Genomic DNA, 23,612 nt, shown 5'->3' with positions numbered 1-23,612 from the left:
TCAAAAGAAGCAATACACCCTATTCCAAAAAGAAAACACACAACTTCATCCAAAGTCTTTCTCTAAAGTGTACCTTTGGGCAGATGATTTCTTTACACTCCACAGCTGCTTCCTCCTCTACCTGACACTAAGGCCTTCACATATTAAGTGAGTTAGCAATTTTCTTCCTGGGAGCCTTAGAAAGAACTAGTCCACAACTCAGTCCACTGCTACTGAGTGTCCTCCATCATCATCAACATTATCATCATCTTCATCGTCGTCATCATCATCATCAAAGGACTTAATTCATTACCAAACTACTGCTGACATTTAAATAAACTTAAGCCATTATCTTTTTAGGCAAACTGAGGCCATAGTATTTACTAGCTGAGAATAGAATGGGAAGAGGGTATAAATCTGAAAAAGGTGGCCTGGCTTCTATATTTATTACTTTTCAAAAGCAACAGCATTTTTCAAAGGCTCAGGATTCTGTGAAATCACCCTCTAGCTTGTTATATCCCTTCATCCCAACAGTAGTGGGGATGCCACCCCAAAATCCATTTACCAGAAATAAAAGATGTAAAGACATGTTTTGGATAAAGTTTGTGAGAAAAAAATTCAAGCTGCTTCTATTTTCATACAAGCTACAATCACAAAGAGTTTTGCCTTTGCAACCACACTTCCTACCTAGAATTCCAGTAAATTTAGATGTGCCTCATAAATCTAAACTGTGTAACAGGGAATTTAGCTGGCTGAAACCGTCCTAGCCCACAGATGTTACCAACCTATTTCACAGTCCTAGGTGGATCTAAGAAATGAAAGGGAGATGGAGGGGAAAAGTTAGCATGATGCTTAAAGCCCTACCAAGTCAGAAGTGGAGGATACTGCTTTTAATTTCATGCAAGATTCTACTATTCAAAGAAAAAATGCAACATAAGCCTATAAACCACATCAGTGACATGACAAAGAAAATGTTTGTATTTGCAAAATACATTCAAATCCCCAAACTCCCCAGAAAAATCAATACAAGTGCCAATAATACAAATAAATCAAATCCTCAATCTGACAGGTCTGCTTACCATTGCTCCTAAGAGTTCATTCCCTGAAGCTATAAGCTTCCCTGTGGCCAGGCACCTTTCACACCCTCCTTCTGGGGTGATTCACCATGCAGAGAACCTGGATCAAACAGAGGCATCTGGCCTCACCATCATTCCCCAAGAACCCTAGTCAACTTCTAGGATAAGCACATTTTCCACATGAACCAGAGTTTCAAGAGAATCCCATGATAATACAAACTCTTGGGAGACAAGTCTGACCCTTCCTGACCTTTCCACTTTCTCTCAGGTCTTGGTCACCAGAGTCCTAAAACTGGATGGTCCCCAGCCTCCAGCTGCTGCTGTGCTCCAGGCCACCCAAAATCCTACTGGGAACTGCACTCCCAAAGTACTATCAGGTCGCCTTTCACCTCCAATGGTTCACATTTGTTTATTCCATGTATCATCATTTCCTGACAATCTTCTATATACAGCTTTAAAATGCAAAGAAGGCACAATCCCCAGCCTACCAAGAATTTCAGTGGAGTTGAGGAGGCTGCAAACCCAAACAGCAAACAATCAAAACACACAATAAGGCAATCATGTCTATTTCAGTATTCTACATGGGTGCAATAAAATGCTAACCAGTGAGATATGAATGATTAGAATATAAGGAAGAATAAGCTGCAGCTATTTGTGAGTTATGAACAAAATAATGAAAAAATAGGAAAAAAAGAAATTAATCTGAACCAAGATAATCAAAGAGCGCCTTAAAAAGGAAAGAAAGGAGATCTGACCTGAAAGCTTTGAGGGCTGAATAAGTATGAGGGTGTAAAGAGGGAACATTCCTTCTGGGGCAGGAATGCCGAAGCAAACATGCTAGATAGCGGGTGGCAGGGTAAGGTCGGGAAGAGAGGCCAAGGATCAGGGAAGAACAGAAAATAAACTCCATTCTGAAATCTGTCAGGGCAAGGGACAGTTCTTGCTGGTTTTCTTAGCATCTGTCACATAGCAGACTCTGGCTATTCCACAAAGTATTGAGTATTCAACTGAATATTTAAGGTAAGGCCAGTTTGCACAGCCATGAAAAACAGGCAGAGAAATTCTGCCTTGGATCAGTAAGTAGTGGGAAGTCAACAAATATTCTTGAGCAGGAAACCTGACCTAATCCAGTTCAACAATCATTTCCTAAAGGCCTCCTATATTTGAGGACCAAGAATATCCTGAAGGAACACCTCTACCATAGGAAGGGATAGGAATGCTACCTCATACACATAGGGCTTTTTTCTCTTACCTAGTCTCACCGGAGAGGAGAACCGTGTTCTAGCAGGGTGAACCTGGCAAGAGAGATTGAAACAGCCTGGAAGGCCAGCGGATGACAAGGTCTGGTTAGGGTGGTGGAGATAGGAACCTGTGAAAGAAAGAACTGGGAGGGCGGGTCACTGACTAGATTGGAGAAGCTCAAAAGAGGGGAGTTTTGGATGAGAGCAGGAAGACTCAGGTTTTGATTTCCAGACGGTGTCATTATCTTCAGGCAATGCTTTGGCTCAGTGAACACCAAATGCTAGGGTCAGTCATCTCAGCCATTCTGCCTGTTTCTGGGAACGGGGGTTACACATTTCATCCTTCCCATCTGCCCAGTGTTTTGTTTTTTTTTTTTAATGCTAGTTGTGATTTCCTGTAATTCTCATTTGCAAGGGGGTAAAGGGGGATCAATGAGATGATACAGAAAGGAGGAGCTGACAATTCTTTTGTCCATCACATCATGACAAATACGTCTCAACAGTCCTGCACTGAAGTTTTACTGGCAGCTCTTACTCTGGGAAGAAGAGAAAAGGGGAAGGAAGCATTACATTTTAAAAGCCACGAGGGAAGTGTTCTCCTTACACGATGAGTTTTCCCCTTCTAGGCAATCCTCCCCAGCTGCATTTACTGAGGGAGGAGGGATGAGACAGAGAAGTGTCAGCCCTGAGAGCAACAGGAGGGCCAGCCTGGCTCCCAGAAATGCAGCTCCTCCCTCTGAAGCCTGACCCCTCCACCTGGCCACTCTGCCGTCCCTGACATCCTAGACCAGGGAGAGAAGCAGCAGGGCAATAGCAGGGTGAACAGTGGTGCTCTCTGGAAGGGTTGCCATTAACCTGTATTTCCTAATCTTTCTTCCAAAAAGAAGTATAATTTGTCATGTCTTAAAACTTTTTAAAAAACAAGCTACTAGGGGAAACAAATTTGAGATGTGCACCTTTACAAAGGAAAAGTACAATTTAGCCCTCTTTCCCAACCATTAAACAAGCATAAGGGGAGGAAAAAGCCCAGAATGAAGAAGAAACTGTTGTTGGTATTAACACCTTGGTGGATTCTCTGCCATATTCTAAACAAGTACTTCCCTCCCACCTGTGACAGATTCTGACCACCCTAGAACAGTCATGCTGTACCTTTAAACACAGGGGCCTCAGAAAACTAAAAGGATGTGACCTGAGAATATCTGCTTTTGCAAGCATTTCCCAGCGCCCTGTGTTAGGCTTCCTAGGGATGGCAAACATTCTTTTGCAAGCCCGTGACTTGGGGCTGTGTCAATGGGGACAGGGATGTTTTGTCATCCTGCAGGACTTCATTCTGTAAATGTTGTGGTCATAATCCTACTCCAGAAACATGAAACCTCAGGATAATCACAGAATTATTATTATTAACTGGCATTTGAGTGCTTAGTCACTGCGCACAGATGTAAGCATTTTACATCTAATATCTTATTTAATCCTTGCAACAACCTTAAAAGGTAGGTACTGTTATATCCGTTTTAGGCAAAACAAAACAAAACAAAAAACAGAAGCAGAAGGGCTAAATAACCTATCCAAGCTTACACAGATAGAAAGTGATGAGACCAAGATATCAAACTAAACAGTCTGACCCAAAAGCATGCAATCTTGGTAGAGTTGAAATTTATTCCATTTTATATAACATAATTCATTTTAAATGTTAAAATTATCCTAGATATACTATGGACTAGGAGGCATCATTATAAAAAGAGATGGGAAGGTCTGAAGATTGTTCCCCTGCTGCTTGCAGCTATGCACCCCCTTGAGGTGGGGTGGGACTTGGACTTGGCTTGAGAAGCAGCAGAAAGCCAGCTGAACATGCACATGTGAGGGCTGATTTTGAAAGTCTAAGGTGGCCCAGGTGATGCTAAAGCATACTTTGAGTGACACTGCCTTGGGGCATTCCAGGAGACCTCTGAAGCCACAGCAAGCTTTGGGGACACAGGTCACTAGATGATGGTTAAGTCCCCTGAATTGCTAAGGAAACAGATAATCACTTTAAGTCACAGGCACCTCATGTTAAGAAAGCTGTTGACAGAATGGAGTGGAGTAAAACAAGAATTCAGAAACATGAACTCTCAGAGTCCTCTTTACAGGCGTGCATTTAAGATTGCTTTTTCCATGATCAGCATGTACGCTTGACCCCAATTCTCCACAACTGAAACAACTTGGCTAGAAGTTGCCTCAAAAAATGAGCTAGATTTTTCTGGAAAATAACTGACAAAGATGGATACATTGCATATTAATGCTCAAATTAATATATTCTTAATAAAAACTTAGAAAAGGGTTGAGAGGGGAAGAGGTTTTTTTCTTTTTTTTTTTCCATGTGTGTTCTTCAAGAGTCCAAACATGAAGCACGCTGCCTGGGTCTTTGCACTTGTTTGGAAATTGAATAAACATGATTCACTTTAAGGTTTTTCCTCTGTGTTTTAGTCAGACGTCATTACATGTCCATCTACATATGTGAGCTCACCAATTCTGTCCTTCCTCCTTGGCTTAAATTATCTGTTTCAATTGTATTACTCTCCAAGAAAGATGGCTCCAAGCTCAGAAAAGGTTTCAGTAATTTAATTAAGTTGTGCAGAAATGCTGATGCTTTCTGAGGCACCAGCCTGACCTTTCTCTGCTCCTTGCTGGTCTCTGACGGTAGGTCCTGGCTGCTGCCTTCACTTGGGGGAGAGAGACCACCTCTACTCCCTGACTTCCACAAGATCTTTACAGTGGCCAGTGTTTGGCCAAACGTTCAGACTGCCTGGCTCTGCTACTTACCTGCTGTGCCATCCTCGGCAAGTTTTTTTAATCCTCTTTTAAGTGGGTACACAAGCAATCTACTTCAAAGTTGCTATAAAGATTAAATAAGCTAATATATAGAAAGCACTTAGGGCAGTGCCTGGCAAATAGAAAGCATTCAATATATGTTAGCTTTTATTATCAGCCTGCCTAGTAATACTGAAGAAAGTTTTACATAAATCAAGAGCTTAATACCTTTAGAAGCACTCTCAATTCATTACCACTACATTCAAACCTCTCAACAACCATGCAAATGAGACAAGACAATGTTTATGGACACTTCCTATGAGAAAGAATAGGAACTGGTTCAACCGCCGACCGTGGGAGCTGTTTGCCCACCCTCCCTCATTTAAGGCAGAGACCTGCCTCCATCATTTTCATATACCACCCCCAACACACGCACATACTAGCAGGTGCTCAATAAATCCACAGTGAATTGCACTGACTTTAGGGTTGGTTGTGCTGTAAACACAGCAACCCCAGCCTCACGGCAAGAAGCTGGCAAAACAGAATCATCATTCCTGGGCATTCCTGGCCAACTTGAACAGAAACAAGAGGGCTGCCTTTCCCAGTCCCAGCTCCGACTCATCCCTGAGAGGAAAAGGAGCATCTGCAAGAGAGTGGCAGCCAGAGGTCACTCAGAGGGAAACAGCAGAAGTGCCCCTTAACAACCTCTGAGGTAGCAGGGAATTAGGATAATATAATGGGCATTATCCAGACCCTCCCATTGGGCCAAATGGTAATCCACGGAGGTGGTGTTTCAAAGGCAGATAATGTTGCCTTTGCTGACTGATATGGGAGCTGCCTTTCAGTAGAGTACAGGCCAGTCTATAAATACCAGGGATTAAAAGGCTTCCTGTGGGGGCCCAACGGCCATCTACCTAAATACAGAGGTTATCTGGTCCTCCAGGCTCCTCTGGTCCATCCCTCGTCCCTCAGGGAAGAAATGCCATCATCCAACATTACACCCCCTCCAAGGGACCCCCAACCTCTCTTCCACTTCAGCTTGTTTTTGCTAACCAACCCCTCCTTTCCACACCCTCACCAGGACCATTCACTCCCAAGTGCCCCTCCACTGCAACTCCCACCTGGCCCTACCCTCCTCTCTCCAGGCATTTGTTCTCTGCCTCCCTCACCACCTCATCCCCCACCCAACTTTCGAATCCACATATTCTTTACCTGCCATAAAATAACCATAGGCAGAACCGAGCTCAGTGGCTCATGCTTGTAATCCCAGCACTTTGGGAGGCCAAGGCTGGCAGATCACTTGAGCCCAGGAGTTCAAGACCAGCCTGGGTAACATGGCAAAACCCCATCTCTTCAAAAAATACAAAAATTAGCTGGGTGTAGTGGTATGTGCCTGTAGTCCCAGCTACTGGGGTTGGGGGCTGAGGTGGGGAGGCGGAGGCTGCAGTGAGCCTACATAGCCCCACTGCACTCCAGCCTGGACAACAGAGTGATACCCTGTCTCAAAAAAAAAAAAAAAAAAACCCACCACAGGCTTTAGAATCACTCCAACCTTGGTTCTAGTTCCAATACAGTAATTAACAGTACTGAAATGTTTCAGAGCTTGGTTTCCTGATTTATCCAGTGAAGATTAGCCTACCGAGTTAAAGCACTGAGCACACTGCCTGGCACAGGGCACACATTCAATACTTTCTGCCTTTTCCCACTCCCCAGGGGATTTTTCTTCTTTCTTTTCTGGGATACTCTGATATAGACACTCCTTCTAGGTATAATACCTGCTAAATACAGATGTCTTAACCCAAAGGAATAACAGAAATGTCATACACTTTCATCACCAGCAGTATCTCTGTAGCAAGCACACAGCCCCATTAGTAACATAGCCCCATCAGCAACCTTCAAATTCTATGAGAGAGAAGGCTGGTCACTTTGTACTTTGCCACCACAAATGACCCACGTGGTGAGAGAAAGTGATCAGAGGGGATGGGAAAACAGAGTTCAGAGTCACTTTGGGGCCGAGAGCAGTGGCTCATGTCTGTAATCCCAGCACTTTGGGAGGCAGAGGTGGGTGGATCACCTGAGGTCAGGAGTTCCAGACCAGCCTGGCCAACATGGTGAAACCCCGTCTCTACTAAAAATCCAAAAATTACCTGGGCGTGGTGGCAGGTGCCTGTAATCCCAGCTACGTAGGAGCTGAGGCAGAAGAATCGCTTGAACCCAGGAGACAAAGACTGCAGTGAGTCAAGATCGCGCCACTGCCCTCCAGACTGGGTGACAGAGCGAGACTCCATCTCAAAAAAAAAAAAAGTCACTTTGGGTAAGAGCAAGGGATAGATAAAATCTCTGTAAAGTAAGAGCAGCACTTCCATATGAGACTAAGACCCCCCAAAAAGAGTCCCATAATCCCACATTTACATGTAAAAAGATTAAAATTAATTCTGACAGCAAGAACATCTGCCACTTTTACTAGAAATACCATCTGGGCCGGGCACGGTGGCTCACGCCTGTAATCCCAGCACTTTGGGAGGCCGAGGCAGGCGGATCATGAGGTCAGGAGATCGAGACCATCCTGGCTAACACGGTGAAACCCCATCTCTACTAAAAATACAAAAAATTAGCCAGGCGTGGTGGTGGGCGCCTGTAATCTCAGCTACTCAGGAGGCTGTGGCAGGAGAATGGCATGGAGCTTGTGGTGAGCCAAGATCCTGCCACTGCACTCCAGCCTGGGGAACAGAGTGAGACTCTGTCTCAAAAAGAAAAAATAAATAAATAAATAACATCTGTTTAATTTCTGATAAGGCCCAGGCACAACTTTACATAGACCAAGGACTGCCTACAGTATGTCCCTAAAAGGTAGCAGCATCCTAAGGACAGCTCCAAGGCAGTGTGCCATGCCTCTCCCTGGTGTCCTGAAGCTGCTCCTGCAAATTCATGATTAGCCCTGAAATAAACCCAGAGCTTCATCCTTTTCTAAACACCTCCTCCAAAACTTTTAGTCATCACTCTTGAAATCAGAATTAATTTAAGCAAGACTATCTTCAAAAACCAGATAAATACTAGAGCAACATAATAAAAGTCCTGAACAACTTGTGTTTTAGAGGGACTTCCACCATGGTGGTGGGAGGGTTTCTTTTCCAATGAACATTCTTATTTTGCAATTAGTTAAGAGGGTCCCTTCCATGAGGTCTTTAACATCCTCTAGGATCCACCTGTTGCCAAGCTAGTGGGAGTCAGAGCAGAGTCCTCTAAAGAAGTGGGACAGGCCAGTTGCAGTGGCTCATGCCTGTAATCCCAGCACTTTGGGAGGCCAAAGCAGGAGGATCACTTGAGGCCAGGGCTTCAAGACCAACCTGGGGAACACAGCAAGACAAAAAAAAAACACGTTTTTTTTTTTAATTAGCCAGGTATAGTGATGCGTGCCTGTAATCCGAGCTGCTTAGGAGGCTGAGCTGGGAAGATAAGCACTTAAGTCCAGGAGTTCGAAGCTATAGTGAGCTATGATCAAGCCACTGCACTCCAATTTGGGCAACAGAACAAGACCCTATCTCGAAAAAAAAGTCTGGTGACTTAGTTGGTATTAAGCATGAAAAAAATGGGTGCTTCATAGGTAGGCACCCTCATACTTTTCAGATCCTGATGGGGAATTATTAAATGTAAGCCCAATACCCATAGCAAGGAGATATTCAAAGAATATCTACAACGAAAAATGAAAAGTGAACTATGGGGGTTTGCCAGCCACCATTAAACGCAAATTTGGAAAAGGAAATATTTGAAACACACGCAAACACAAAAACAATCAAGTCCTGCAAGAAGATGGCACATGCCATCTTCCAGTCCACTGTGCAAACTGAGATTGGTAAAATTTGACACTGCATTGTCTGTATTTTTCACTAATTGGTAAGTATTTCATGACCCCTGTGCAGCAGGAAGAGAGCAGGGCACATGTGGGAAGGTCTGATAAGCAGAGAACAGAAAGGGCAAGGATAAGAAGTATACTGTAAAAACCCAAGGTGGGAAGGTGGGAAGCCGGGGGCTTAATCAGCTCTGGCCCCAGGACTGAGTTTGAGGAGGAGAATCTCGCATTCTCTGGAAACCGTACTAGGCAGAAATCACTCAGGGCTTTTTTTCCCCCCTCTCAAAATGCAAATACACAGAAGAGGAGCCCACAGAGAAGCTCCAAACCTATTTCCCACCAAGACTGGCTTCAACTCAACCATTCAGTCCCACAAACAGGCAGATTGTTCTGGGAGCAGGTGGAACACCATGGGGAGCACTAAAGTGGTATAGGGAGAGAGGCCTTCCTTAGAGAAGCAAAGCCATCCTCACACAGGCCATCCAGGTTGAAAGCGGGAGAGGATGAGCAGACGCGGGTGGTGTGGCTGTCAGTGAGGACTCCAGCAGCAGAGATGGTTTCACAGAGAAGGCCAGACCTGAATTTTCTGGATGTGACAGAGTTCAGAGAACTGAGCCCACGAGGGGAGTGGTAAAGAGTGTGCCACATACAAGACCAGGAGGCGGAGAGAGGAAACAAGCCTCTCCTTTTGATCACTCTGGATGTGGTCCATCTGCCCTGGAAGGTGGAAAAAGGATGTGGTTCTAAGCTGGCTTCTCTCACTCACTCAGCCCCACATTGACCCTTGCTAACCCCCTCTGTCCAGACCGGCCATGTTCTGCTGAGCTTCACATCCGCAGTCCTGGCCAGTGCTTCCTGTCTGCACATCCGAGAAGCCTCCGTGGTTTGCTGCCACCCACTCTGACAGGGCTGCACTGAAACATGAAGGAGACCATGTAGGCGTCAGCCCCGTTTCTGCTGCTAACCCAACATCTAGCCTTAGGACAAGTCACCCACTACCCTGTGCCTCATTTTCTGTAACTTTAAAGTAGGTAAAGTTACACTCACTGCCTCCTCTCTTCAAGCATAGTGAGGATAAAAGCTGATAACAGTTAATATTTACTGGGTACTTAACTATGTGCCAGATACTGAGTTAACTGCTTAACCATCTAGAATCATTTAATCCTCAAAACCCCCCGTGGAATACACACTACTCTTAACTCCCAATTTCAGTTAAAGAAGCTGGAGCTTAACAAAGTTAAGAGACCTACCTGAAGCCACACAGTCAGACAGAACATTTAACACTACAAAAGGGTCAGCCACTAATTAATACTTCCCCAAACTGCCATTTAAGTATCTTTTAGTTGTCAGACACATACCTATCTTTTTAAATATCCCATTTCATTTGATTTTCATAAAATTCTACAAGGGAGTACTTTTAAATGTAATTTTAATAAATTATTCAAGTTATACATGCCAATAGCAAAAAATTCAAATGAAACAAAAAGCAAGTTTAAGAAGTTAAAGTTCCCTTTATCCTTTACCATTCACATCCAGAATTCCCCACACCAGGCAATAATCAAAATTTTGGTAGCCACCCTTCTATAGATGGGTAGTGTTAACATCATTTCTATCCTACAAATGATAAAACTAAGTATCGGCCAGGCACGGTGGCTCACGCCTGTAATTCCAGCACTTTGGGAGGCCAAGGCAGGTGGATCACCTGAGGTCGGGAGTTCGAGACCAGCCTGACCAACATGGAGAAACTCCGTCTCTACTAAAAATACAAAAAAATTAGCCGGATATGGTGCCACATGCCTGTAAGCCCAGCTACTTGGGAGGCTGAGGTAGGAGAATCGCTTGAACCTGGGAGGCAGAGGTTGCGGTGAGCCGAGATCAGGCCATGGCACTCCAGCCTGGGCAACAAGACCGAAACTCCCTCTCAAAAAAAAAAAAAAAACAACTAAGTATCAAAGAGGTTAAATTTGCTCAAGGTCATATGGCTGATACATGGCAGAACTGAGACTGAAGCAGGGTCACTCTGATTCCGTGGATACTTTCTGAGAAATGTGTCATTAGGCAATGTTGTTGTGTGGACATCACAGAGTGTACTTACATAAACCTAAATGGCATAGCCTACTATACACCTCAGCTACATGGCATAGCCTAGGCTACAAACCTGTACAGCAGATATGTTACTGAATACTGTAGGCAACTCTAACATGATGGTAATTGTGTATCTAAACATACTTAAACATAGAAAAAATACAATATGGTATAAAAGATAAAAAATGGTACATCTGTATAGGGCACTTACCACGAATGGGGCTTGCAGGACTGCAAATTGCCCTGGGTAAGTGAGTGAATGGAGTGTGAAGGCCTAGGACATTACTGTACATTACTGTAGACTTTATAAACACTGTACACTTAGGCTACATATTTTTTAAAATTTTTTCTTCTATAAATTAACCTTAGCTTACTGTGACTTTTTTACTTTATAAACTTTTTAATTATTTTAAACTTTTTGACTCATTTGTAATAACACCTAGGTTAAGACATACAGCTGTGACAAAATATTTTCTTTCTTTATATCCTTATCTATAAGCTATTTTCTATTTTAAAAAATCTTTTTTTGTTAAAAAACTAAGACACAAACACACACATTAGCCTAGGCCTACACAGGGTAAGGATCATCTATATCACTATCTTCCATCTCAGCATCTTATTTCACTAGTAGTCTTCAAAGGCAGGAACAGAACTGTTATTTCCTGTAACAATGCCTCCTGGAAAACCTGCTGAAGGATCTGCCTGAGGCTGTTTTACAGTTAACTGTTTTTTTGGGGAGTTTTTTCCTAAGTAGAAGGAGTACAGTCTATATTGATGACAAAAAACATGGTATAGTAAATATATAAACCAGAAACACTGTTATTATCATCAAGTATTATGTACTATACATAATTGTATGTGCTAGACTCTAATACAACTGGCCATGCTGTAGCTTTATTTGTAACAGCATCACCACAAACAGGTGAGTAATGCATTGTGCTATGACCTTACCATGGCTACAATGTCACTAGATGATAGAAATTTTTCAGTTCCATTATAATCTTATGGAACCACCATCATATATGCAGCAAAATGTTATTACACTGCACATGACTGTATGCACATGTTCGTATTTTTGTTCCATTAGTACACAAATACATGCTGACTTTAGGGTACCTGTAACGAGATGGGGATGGAGGAACCAAAAAGGGGCTGTTGCTATCATGTTGCTGTTTGCTGTTCCTTGGCAAGTTAATCAAGTCTGCAATCCTAGGAGGTTTCCCACCTCTCAACATGTGCTATCATACCGGTGTCTGATTTAGCATTTGAACCCCAGCTGACTGAACATCACTACTACATACAAGTACAGTTGCTGCCATATGCATACTGGTTGCCAAAGGTCTTATCTTTCCCATTTGTAAAATGGGAGTACAATCTTCCTGACAGTATGCGATATCTTACATGAAAGCAGTTTGGCCGGACGCTGTGGCTCACGCCTGCAATCCCAACACTTTGTGAGGCCAAAGTGGGCAGATCACTTGTGGTCAGGAGTTCGAGACCAGCCTGACCAACATAGTGAAACTTCATCTCTACTAAAAATACAAAAATTAGCCAGGCGTGGTGGTGGGCGCCTGTAATCCCAGCTACTCGGGAGGCTGAGGCAGGAGAATCGCTCGAACCTGGGAGACAGAGGTTGCAGTGAGCCGAGATCGCACCACTGCACTCCAGCCTGCGCAACAGAGTGAGACTCCATCTCAAAAAAACAAAAAGCAGTTTGTAAAATGAAGAAATCTTTACTGCTATGAATATGGATGTCCAGTCTGCACAGTAAACACAGAGAAACGTAAACCATCCTCAAGGCGGTTGAAATCTATGAGGAGAAGAGACTAACCAAAACACTGGGCCGGGGTGGTAGCTCATGCCTGTAATCCCGGCACTTTGGGAGGCTGAGGCAGGCGGATCACTTGAGTCCAGGAGCTCAAGACCGGCCTGGGCAACATGGCAAAACCCCGTCTCTGCAAAAAAATCCAAAAAAATTGGCCGGGCATGGTGACACATGCCTGTAGTCCCAGCTATTCAGGAGGCTGAGGTGGGAGGATCGCATAAGCCCGTAAGGTCAAGGCTGCAGCGAGCCGCGATGGTACCACTACACTCTAGCCTGGGCGACAGAACAAGACCCTGTTTCAAAAAACAAACAAACAAAAAAGCCAAAAAAACACTGGAGAACAACTCAAAATGTATAATTAAGTGTTAAACTTTTGTGCTGCAAAGAATTCCTTTGGGGAGATAATTAGTATATAGGAAAGAGCATCTGATAAATACTTGATCAATTAATGAGTTCAGATGTGTTGCCTGAAAACCACCTCACCTGCTGCCTTAACATTAGCCTCCTAATACCTTCACTATTCACAGAAAGCTATACCAACACCAAAACCCTGAAGTCTGTTCATTCTACAATTGCTCACGTATAACCCAAGAGAAAAGCATGTCAGCATTTGTACAGAGCACCCTTCTTTCAACGATGTGCTTTAAAAAAAGCATGGACAGACCTTCAAAGGAGATGACCCACACAATTATGTAATTCCAGAAGCAGTAGAACTGCCCCCCCAAAAACAGTTCAATTGTGGAGAACAAAGAGAAAAGTGTTAACTACTTCCTTGCCTGCAACCTGACACACTGGATACTAAATATATTTCTCTCCAAACTACAGAGGCAAATGTGTAAGTTGACTTTCAGGAATGAATGATGCCTCCCAAGGCTTTTAAAAGAACAGAATTCTAGAAACAAAGATCTGCTACCTAAAAATTAGCAGGGATGACTTTCTGGTCTTCAGCCCCATAATAAGGGGACCCTATAGTTTGTTTCTGATTGGCCTTGCTAAAACATTCTGGACAACCTCTAATACCCTCTCTCTCCTTCACCTCCCACTGCCATGGTTCCTGAGCTGACTTCTTTTCCTGCCACCAGACAGGGTGAACTTGGTGAATGTTAACAGCTTTTTAACACCCTGTTTATATTTGTTTTTCACTCAAACCAGGCCTCCCTACAAATGACTCCATTTTTAGAATTTCATCAATAATACCACTCTTTCATTCCTTGTCATCAAGGCTCATAACCTCAAAGTCACCCTGCCCTCCTATACTTGTTATTTTAATCCCCTACACCTGGTCAATCATTTATTAATCATCCAATTAATCCAGGAGGGGGTACAAGGAAGTGGATCAGACAGTCACCAACCTCAGGGAACTTCCAATGTCAGCCTGGAACCAGGGCCTACACAGAGATGGCCACCCAAAGAGGTAAAATATAGGGGGAGGGCGTACGTTTACTGGGAACTAGGTCCTTTACTGTCCCCAGCAGGTTGTAAAGCCACAAATATATCAGGAAAAAGATCTCACAAATCAACATTTCTATCTAAAATTGAGGCTTGAGGGAGATGGAAGAAAAAAGATTCCCTAAGGAATTCATGCCACTGATCCTCTTATTCCCCTTCTCCCAGTTTCTCATAGTTGAACCCACATCTCCTTTTTTCTTTTAATTAAAAATAGGATATGTCAAGGTCTGAAAACATTCCCAGATTAAAAACTAGTTGATTAAATAAAGCAAGAAACAGGAATCCTCAAAGCACACCAAACTGTTAGACCTAGCTCACTGCAGAGAAAGACAATTCATTTATTTAATGGGGAGACTAGGGGAAACTCTCTAACGATACTTTTCAAGTTCTTCCCTTCCAGGATGACTGTGGTTTGGAGCACAGAAGTAACTGACAAATCCCAAACAATCAAGCTGAAAGTCTACCGTACACAAAAAATTCCTCCAACACTACTCTCAAATTAAAAACCTCGTGAGTATTCCCGCAGTATGCTAACTCCATGCCAGCAAGTATTATGACCATTTTGTTCTTTGTTCACAACTGTATACCTAGTGCCTAGAACAGACATCCACTAATTATTTGCCAGACAACTAGACTTACTTCCCTTTGGTTTCTGCAGCAACCACCTACCAGCCTCCCACCAGTCTGACATCATAGCCTAACCAGATTATCGGCTCACAAATTATTATGACTTGAGGGTACATGTAAAGGAAAGATGGATCGATGAATTCTTATGAAACTCAGAGCCTGTTTTTCTTGCTATTCTGCTGTGTAACAAGCAAAATTCCCACAGGACAGAAACAAGGAGGCAGACGGTCTTCCCATGGCAGAGTTTCTACCTGGAGGCAGATGGAGGATTGATAAAGGGGTAGACCAGATAACATATCATTGGTTACTTTTCTAGCAATGGCTCAAGCATGCCAACTGAAACAGCAGCACCCACTAAACACAAGACTCTGTTCACCGGCTTTCTGGGATGGGGAAAGCCAGTATATATGACTTGCTTCCTTTGTGCCTGGTTAGAGACATACAGTTATAGATGTGTGTTCACGCTGCATTTAGGTGGGTAGCTGATTCCACATACAATAAGCCCAAGGAAGTCGAGACACAGCTCTGAAGGGTTTGGTAGGTTAATGGGGTGTAGGTGTGGGATCAGTTCTCCCAGACAGAGCACACATCCCATTGGCCTGGGGTCAGGTGGTTTTTTTTTGTTTGTTTGTTTTGAGACAGGGTCTCAACTGTGTCACCCAGGCTGGAGTACAGTGGCACCATCATAGCTCATTGCAGTCTTGACTTCCCAAGCTCAAGCGATCCCCCAACTTCAGCCTCCCAAGTAGCTGGGACTACAGGTGTGTGTCACCATGCCCAGCTAATTTTTAATTTTTTTTTTTTTTTTCTGTAGAGATGTGGACTCTCACTATGCTGCCCAGGCTAGTCTTGAACTGGTCTTGAGCAATTGTCCCACCTCAGCCTCCCAAAGTGCTGGGATTACAGGTGTGAGCCACCGTACCAGGCCAGGTGGCATTTTTGAATGGCAAAGATACACAGCACAGAGATTTAAAAGTTAAGCAGGCACAGCCTAAACACAACTACACCGATTTTTTAAAGTGAAAGCAAGTTTATTAAGAAAGTAAAGGAATAAAGAATGGCTGCTCCATAGGCAGAGCAGCCCTGAGGGCTCTGCACCCATTTTAAGAACAGTTTTCTTTCAGAAGAATTGGACTTAATGACTCACTGCCTTTGTAATTTCACTATTAGACTCAAAACTACAATCACAGAAGTAACTTGAATTTGTTCCCAAAAATATGAACCACGACACCCTGCTGGACTCCCAACCCCCATTCCGGGACCAGGCCCAGAAGAGGGGGAGAAACAAAGAGGTGATCACACCGGGAGGGAAAAGCACTAGACTAGGAATCAGGGGCTCTGGCTTCTCCACTAGCCCTTTCACCTCTCAGGCAAGTCAGCTCTGAGCATCCATTTCCCACTTGCATTTCTTTAAAATGAGGAGGTAGAATAAGAAGAACCCCAAAGGCCCATTTTTCCAACTCTAACATTTCATGAACCTAGAACCTCTCTTCATATACTTTGTTGTGCTGGGAGTTTTGGTAGCATCTAGATAGCAACAGTGAAGCATCTGGATCTTCAACTAAGAGTCTCATCTCACTTCACTCAACCTTTGGAAACTCTTAGGATTTGAGAATCAAATTTGCATTAACAGGTAAGGCCTGCTTCAAATCACAAAATTTTTGGCAATGAATTTTGGCAGGGAAGTTATGGCTGCATTCACACACATTTACACACACACACACAGGAGGGAACTTTCTAGAAGAACTGATCCTTGGCCTTGGCTCCAGATACAGGAATCCAGAGAAGAGAATTCAAGTTCCTAGTTTTTGTCTGTCTTGCTGGACAAAGGGCATATGCCCTATCCCTCCTGTTTCTCTGCAGTGTAACCATCTTGATCCTCCGTTAAATCATTAGGTAGCCTGCATATGCACACTTTCAAGAGCTTTTAGTAGGGATCTACGATCAGGGAAAGCAAGACTAGCTGTTGAAAGCAAGACTAGCTGTTGGTCACAAGTGCTAGTACAGGCTGAGTGTCCTTTATCAGAAATGCTTGGGATCACAAATGTTTTAGATTTTCGAATATTTGTATATACATAATCAGGTATCTCAGGGATGGGACCCTGGTCTAAACATAAAATCCATTTATGTTTCATTTACACGTAATACACATAGACTGAAGGTAGTTTTGACTGTGACCTAAAACATGAGGTCAGGTGTGGAATTCTCCATCATGTGGGTGCTCAAAAAGTTTAAGATTTTGGAGCACTTCATATTTCAGGTTAGGGAAACTCAACCTGTGGTTCCAATTGGAACAAGGGCAAAAGGAGACATTCTGTTGCATTATTTCATTAATATGGTTGGCATGATGTAAAACCACACAGGGACACATCCTGTAGAGGAAATGACACTCCAAGCAGCACCATCTGCTCCTTTTTGTGTCTGGCATGATCTGTTTTTAACCTCGGGTTACACCTGAGGTCCACCTGGAAAAGCCCTGTGGGGGCTGCTCTAAAGAGCACTCTTTCTCAGATCTACATTTTCAGGGCACTCACAGACCCTCTCCCTCCTCCCTACCTTGCTGGCTGGCTCTCTGTTCAATAAGCATTCCACTCCCCAACCTAGCAGAAGCCTTTGAGCAGGTGCACAGAACCCTGGCATGGAATTTTTCACAAGAAAAGGAAAAGCTTCTGAGAACTATAAATCACATTTGATAAGGAAGGCTTTGGGGGTTCATGGTAAAGTCCTCTCTATAAAACACAAAGATGAGATTTAGAGCTGAGGCTTCGCATTGAAAATCCTCTTTATTTGTTTAAAGCAGCAGTACATGTGCATTGAATTTAGGCACTATCGCGTCTGTCAACTCTCACCAATGGTTAAAGTTCTGCACCAAATATTTGGAAACAATGCTACTGGAGAGTTCAAACTTAAAAACAGGATTCTCTCTTTTTGTTTTTGGGTTTTGGATTTTTTTTTGGTGGCACCTTTTCTTGATTCAGGGCAATATCCGCAACACCACAGTAGGATCAAGAGTTTACTAAAACACTGTTCTTCCTCAAACAAACTGCATAACCTAGGAGAATGTTAACCACAAAGTAGAGATATGGATGGATGCAGCTTTAAAGGTATCTCCTTGAGAAATGAAAACATATACCCACAGAAAAACTTATACACACGTTCTTAGCAATACTGCAATATTATTCATAACCAAAAAACAGAAACAACCCAACTGTCCATCAGCTGATGAATGGATAAACAAAATGTGGTATATCAATACAACAGAATAGCATTCAGCAATAAAATGGAATGAAGTACTGATACATGGTAAAACATGAATAAGCCTCAAAAACATTATGCTAAGTGAAAGAAGCCAGTTATTAAAGACCACATATCATATGATTCCATCTATATGAAATGTCCAAATAGGCAAACCTATATAGAGAGAAAGATGAGTGGTTGCCTAGGGCTAGGTGGGATTGTAGAGAAATAGGGAGTGACTTTTTGGGGTGATGAAAATGTTGCAAAATTAGATTATGGTGATAGATGTACAACTCTGTAAATATACTAAAAACCACTGAATTGTACTTTAAATGGGTGAATTTTATGACCTGTTAAAAAAAAAAGCTAAGTGAAAAAAATACAAAGCTGAATGTACAGGTACTACCATCTGAAGATGGAAAAAACAGAATACACATTATGTTAGGGTGGTAGAATCATGCTGATTTTTTTTCCCTTTTATTTTCCAAGCTATCTGTAATCTTGTGCCTCCCCACCAAAAAACATCTCTCAGTCTTCCTTCAAACAGTTTGCATAGACTGCTATAATTTAAAATGCAAATTAAGCAAAATCACCTTGTACCCTTTTTGCAGTTACCTTTTACAAGCCTCCGTCCACTTAGTTTGCTGAGCTCAACTGAGAACAATCTAAAGGAAGAATTGGATAAACAGGCTCTTATGCCATTCCCAGAAGCCAGTTTCATTTTACTGTCTTTGTCAGAAGCTGAAGCCTAGTCTAGTCAAAGAAAATTTCAGCAAGGACAGTTTACATAAAGGGCAATTCCACACTCTAATCTTAAATTTCTGTGGGTGAAGGCAAGTCACTGCTGGCAGTAGGTTGGACTTAGAAATATGAGACATTCCCTCTCCTCTACAAAGGGTAGCAAGAAAGGGGAGGCTGAGAAAGATCTCTATTTGTGTCCCTTCTCTGAGGTTTTGTATCCAATCTCCAACTGCAGAATCCTGAATCATTTTTCACCAGAGAAGATCCTCTTCTGAGTAATAAAGAATTGTCAGTCACCACCTCTGCCGTCTGCAAACCCACTGAGAATCTATTACTGTCATCAGGAATCCCAGGCTAACTTCCCTCAAATCAAGGAAGGAGGCTTTGCCAAAAAATAAAATAAAATAAAACACTTGTGTATGTGTGTAGGAGCGGGGAGTACATTTAGGGGCACACTGCTGTCAGGTAATTTTAAGGATCTACTAACACTGGCGACAGTAACAGGGAACTACATCTGTTTCTGTTTGAGAAAAATGCTTCAGTAATATCCTGTTTCAGGAGTACTGTGTGAATTCTTGGCACGCAGCCTTCAGATGTTTCAAGGGTGGCTATTTTCCTTTTTTGAGATAGAAGAGCCAGGGAGGGAGACTACATCACAGGCAACACCACAGTCTGTGAAATTAGTTTCAGTTCTCACTGCTGCACTTCCTGCTGTCGCTGTATCCAGTACCTTCACGGACGCTTAACTGTCCCAAGCCTTGACAGTAGTACAGTTGGCCTTTCACGGCTGAAGTGACCCAGCTCAGTGCCACTGCAAGGTCCACCAGTGGAGCGACTTCCACACTCAAGTAAGAACCAGAGGATGAGAGAGCAAATGGAGGCACCCTGCTGGTTTCCAGGCCAAAAAAAACTAAAAAGGGAAGAAAAAGGACACCATCGCAGACACATCAGCCCAAGAAGAACACAGGTGCCTAACAGGCTCTGCTGCGAAAACCTAAGCCTTGTAAGAGGCACCTTTCCCCAGAACTTGTACTTTTTAAGATGAAAGGTTCTTACACAGAAACACAAACTTACACTCATCCAAGGGACACACAATGGCTGTTGCCTTGAATCCAAGCCAGGGGTGGAGTGAACAGATCTTGACGCGCAAGGACAGTCCACCCAAAGGTTCCTGAGTACTATGGAGCTCGTGAGAAACCTGGGGAAAGAGTCTCTATTTCCCCTAGTTTTGCATTTGTCCCAAAGCTTACATTTAACCAAATGTCCTAATCCTCAACATTCAAGTCTGCAACAAAGCAATGTTTGCTCTCAAAGTTGAAAAGAAGACAAGACATGGGGCTCCCTCCTCTATTGGCTCCTTCTGATCTTTCTCCCACTGCTTGAGCGAACACCCTCTAACAAGACTTCCATAGTGTCCAGACAGAAAGAAGAGGGAAAATAAATCCTGCTTGTCAGCTTCAACTAGGAGATAGCATGTCATTTCAGGAGCTTAATAACTCACTTCATGTATGGCAATTACACAACCTGGGCCCAATGGATCTGCTGACATTCGGGCCTGCAAGTGTGAATTGTCTCTTAATAAATGGGGAACTAGAGGGGAAAGACAACCACGTGTGCCCTCTGGCCTTCCCTCTCTGCTGGCAAGTGGTTCTGCTTCATTCTCCACAGTTCACTTGTTTGGTACTGAAATGAGGAAGAGTATGTACCTCACTATTTTTTTTTAAAGATGCTGTATTTCTCCCAGCCTACAAATGATACCAGTAGTAACTTGGTTGTCAGAAGAGCTAAGGATATGAAAAAAGGGCAGAAGAAAATATTTGAAGCAAAAGCCAAGTTTTTATGTGGGAAATGGACAAGTGTGGAGGGAGTGAAACAATGCTTAGTAGCAATAAACTTGAAAGAAGTTCTAACTTTAAAGAAACCAGGTGAATTATTACCTTTTGGAAGGGGTGTGTGTGTGCATGTAGAGGGAAGGCTGCTGCAGGAATTGCTGCCCCACCAAAAGAGCAAAGGAGGACATCCCCTACTGAGAGATGCAACATTACATAAGAACACAAGTTCAGGCCGGGCACGGTGGCTCACGCCCGTAATCCCAACACTTTGGGAGGCCAAGACGGGCAGATCACCTGAGGTCAGGCGTTCGAGACCAGCCTAGCCAACATGGTAAAACCAAGTCTCTACTAAAAATACAAAAATTAGCCAGGCGTGATGACACGCACCTGTAGTCCCAGCTGCTCAGGAGGCTGAGGCAGAGAATCGTTTGAACCTGGGAGGTGAAGGTTGCAGTGAGCCGAGATCGTGCCACTGCACTCCAGCCCGGGTGACAGAGCGAGACTCCATCTCAAAAAAAATAAAAAATAAAAAAGAACACAAGTTCAATCACCACACCTCAGAGACTGACCAGGAAAACAGACAAAGTGCTGAGGTCTCTTTATCTGCCAGCCTGTATCTGTAACACCTCATTCTACCCTTCTTTCTCTTCTATCTCACCAAATTCTGGGCTTTCAGAAGGCAGGCTTCAGCGAAAGAAGTCAAACTTGCCCATTTGACAGTGGGTTTGCTCTCAGGGTTTAAACACTGAGCACCCTGGCACCTGTCTCTATCTAGGTGTAAGTGAGGATTTGTTTCATATGCCATTTCTACTACAGTATCCAAAAAATTACTCTGCAGACAGGAAGTCCTATCTATCAGGACTCATACCAATACTGTCCTCTGTTTAACTCGCTGGGCAGAAGTTCCTTCAGCAGCAAATGGCCAGCAATGAAAGCTAACAACATAAACCAAAACAAATGGACTTAAAGGCTGTGAGTCCATGAGAGCTGGATTCTGACTTATTCAATGCAGTACCTGCAATACCTAGCACAGTGCCTGGCATACATTCGGTATCACATAACTACTTGGGAGTACTGAATGAAAGAATGAACAAATGAATCTTATGCAAACATACCGTAAGTGTGTACCCAGGAGAAAGAGTTTAGAATGCTCATGATCTGAGAAACAGCCTGAAGCAGCAGTGCTTTCAGAAGGTTTTAGAAAGACTCCAGGTTCAATTTTATCAAAAGGTAAACAAACCAGAAACTAGCAGTATAATCTAGTAGTTCAGACTGTGGGCTCCACCATGAGATACCTATGTGACATGGGCGAGTTATTTAACTTGTTTGGTTTGGGTCTCAACTAGAAGAATGGGGATAATAATATCTACATCAAAAGTCTGTTATTAAATGAGTTCAAAAAAGTAAAGCCCTTAGCACAAAGGTTGGTACTCAGTAAGTCCTCAAGAACCTTTCCATATTATTGCTGCTTAAATACCTTCTTTCCTGAGATGTAGACATACCTCCCCCAACTCCAGGAAAATTTTAATTTCTGGTTGAATATGCTTCTAGCTAAAAACACAAAACCCAGAGAACTCAGAAGTCAGTGCCAAGCACATGTCTCTACTAGCCTCCACTAGATGGTGACAGTTTGGGTGTGGAATTCCCAAAACAGAAAAGGTGTGTGTGCGTAACTCCTATGTATGTTTTTACACCAGAGGAACGAAAACAGCAAGAAATGAATTAACTACTGTGAAGGAAAGACATACTTCCCATCTCTGTAGATCAAAAAAGGGAGTAAATCCCTAGGCCTAATTGAACTGAGTAATCTTACTGCACCTCTGGAAGAGCACACAGGAGCCCAGTTAGCGAGAGCAACAAAGCCCAGCATGTCGCCTGCCACTGAAAGAAAATTCTGTGGGAACAACAGCTTTAGGCCTCCTTGCCCAGACGCCAACTTCCCTTTAACCAGCCCAAGACTTTATTTTGACGCCTCTTTGCTCCTGGGTCTTGCTGTCCCCATAACCACCTCCCCCTCCTGCTCCTAAATTCGTCCAGGGTAACTTTTCTCCACTTCAGCAGCTCCCCAGCCACGACTCCCATGAGGGAGAGTCAGATCCACACTCATAGCTGGGGTCTCAAAACCAAGCGAAAAAAGGAAAGTCTGTATGTACGTGCCTACTTTTTGAAAGAAAATAGCTGGTTTCGGGGAGTTTAGCCTGGTTAATAAGAGAAGTTTTTGAGATTAAAGAGCAGCCGAGGCGCGGGGGCTCCCGAATGCCGCGGTGCGCACAGGCGGGCTCTGAGATTTCCTCAGGAAATCCACCTTCTCTAAGCCAGCCCTGCCCCAGCGCAAGCCCCGCAGCTTTGCTGGGCTGAGGGCAGTAATGACAGTGGCACAGAGGGCCTCTGCCTACCTCCTCTGCACCCATCGGCACGGCGTCTGGCTCTTCCGGTGCTGCCCGGGCAGCGACGCGGGACGGCGCGCCCCGGACCGCGGGTCACCAAGTTCCCGGCCGCAAACCAGCCGCCGGTCCCCCCGGCCGCGCAGCCCCCACTGCTGGCCGGCTGGCCGCGCCACGCCAGCGCGGGGCTCCCAGCGGCGCGGCTCGCGGCCGGGTGACAGCGGGCCGGCGCAGAGAAGCGCGGGGAGCCGCCGAAGCCGGCCCGGGCTCCGGCCAGCGTCACTCCTGGGCGGTGCGCGCTGGTCCCGCGCCCCTGACAGCCGGCCGAGCGCGTCGATGGCACAATGCCGGCCCCGCCGCCCCCGGGCCGCGGTGACAACTCACCCGGGAGCCGGCGGAGACCTCCGGGATGGGGGCGCTCACAGCTTCCACGCCGCCGCTTGCGCGCGCCCGCAGTCTTCTCGGGTCTAGGCGAGGCCCCGCGTGCCCTTGTCTAGCT

At 44.1% G+C, this 23,612-nt stretch overlaps 1 protein-coding gene across 1 annotated transcript in view, besides 6 other annotated features; it reads right to left on the bottom strand.

Annotated features, from left to right (window-relative positions):
* The window catches only part of SUSD6 (sushi domain containing 6), a 103,549-nt gene that overhangs the window by 79,819 nt on the left and 118 nt on the right, over nucleotides 1-23,612 (bottom strand). Inside the window, exon 1 of the mRNA NM_014734.4 lies at nucleotides 23,498-23,612. This exon is cut by the window's right edge and continues 118 nt beyond it. The gene's annotated coding sequence lies outside the window, so the exon portion shown is untranslated. The remainder of the gene's footprint in view (nucleotides 1-23,497) is intronic.
* Nucleotides 9,289-9,388: an enhancer, noted in NCBI's record as "active region_8641". NCBI's record gives its function as "activates an Ori minimal core promoter by ATAC-STARR-seq in GM12878 lymphoblastoid cells {active_cell/tissue: GM12878}" and the evidence as "EXISTENCE:reporter gene assay evidence [ECO:0000049][PMID:35858748]".
* Nucleotides 9,729-9,828: an enhancer, noted in NCBI's record as "active region_8640". NCBI's record gives its function as "activates an Ori minimal core promoter by ATAC-STARR-seq in GM12878 lymphoblastoid cells {active_cell/tissue: GM12878}" and the evidence as "EXISTENCE:reporter gene assay evidence [ECO:0000049][PMID:35858748]".
* Nucleotides 12,887-13,387: an enhancer, noted in NCBI's record as "H3K4me1 hESC enhancer chr14:70088656-70089156 (GRCh37/hg19 assembly coordinates)". NCBI's record gives its function as "activates a minimal SCP1, AML or CMV promoter by ChIP-STARR-seq in naive H9 embryonic stem cells {active_cell/tissue: H9 hESC(naive)}" and the evidence as "EXISTENCE:reporter gene assay evidence [ECO:0000049][PMID:30033119]".
* Nucleotides 19,317-19,526: an enhancer, noted in NCBI's record as "active region_8639". NCBI's record gives its function as "activates an Ori minimal core promoter by ATAC-STARR-seq in GM12878 lymphoblastoid cells {active_cell/tissue: GM12878}" and the evidence as "EXISTENCE:reporter gene assay evidence [ECO:0000049][PMID:35858748]".
* Nucleotides 19,797-19,846: an enhancer, noted in NCBI's record as "active region_8638". NCBI's record gives its function as "activates an Ori minimal core promoter by ATAC-STARR-seq in GM12878 lymphoblastoid cells {active_cell/tissue: GM12878}" and the evidence as "EXISTENCE:reporter gene assay evidence [ECO:0000049][PMID:35858748]".
* Nucleotides 23,212-23,612: part of a silencer, noted in NCBI's record as "silent region_5882", that runs on past the window's edge. NCBI's record gives its function as "represses an Ori minimal core promoter by ATAC-STARR-seq in GM12878 lymphoblastoid cells {active_cell/tissue: GM12878}" and the evidence as "EXISTENCE:reporter gene assay evidence [ECO:0000049][PMID:35858748]".

The sequence above is a fragment of the Homo sapiens genome, chromosome 14 (assembly GCF_000001405.40).
Source record: "Homo sapiens chromosome 14, GRCh38.p14 Primary Assembly".
Taxonomy (NCBI): Eukaryota; Metazoa; Chordata; class Mammalia; order Primates; family Hominidae; genus Homo; species Homo sapiens.
Note: the sequence above shows the minus strand (reverse complement) of the source record. Positions and strands in the feature narration are given on the sequence as shown.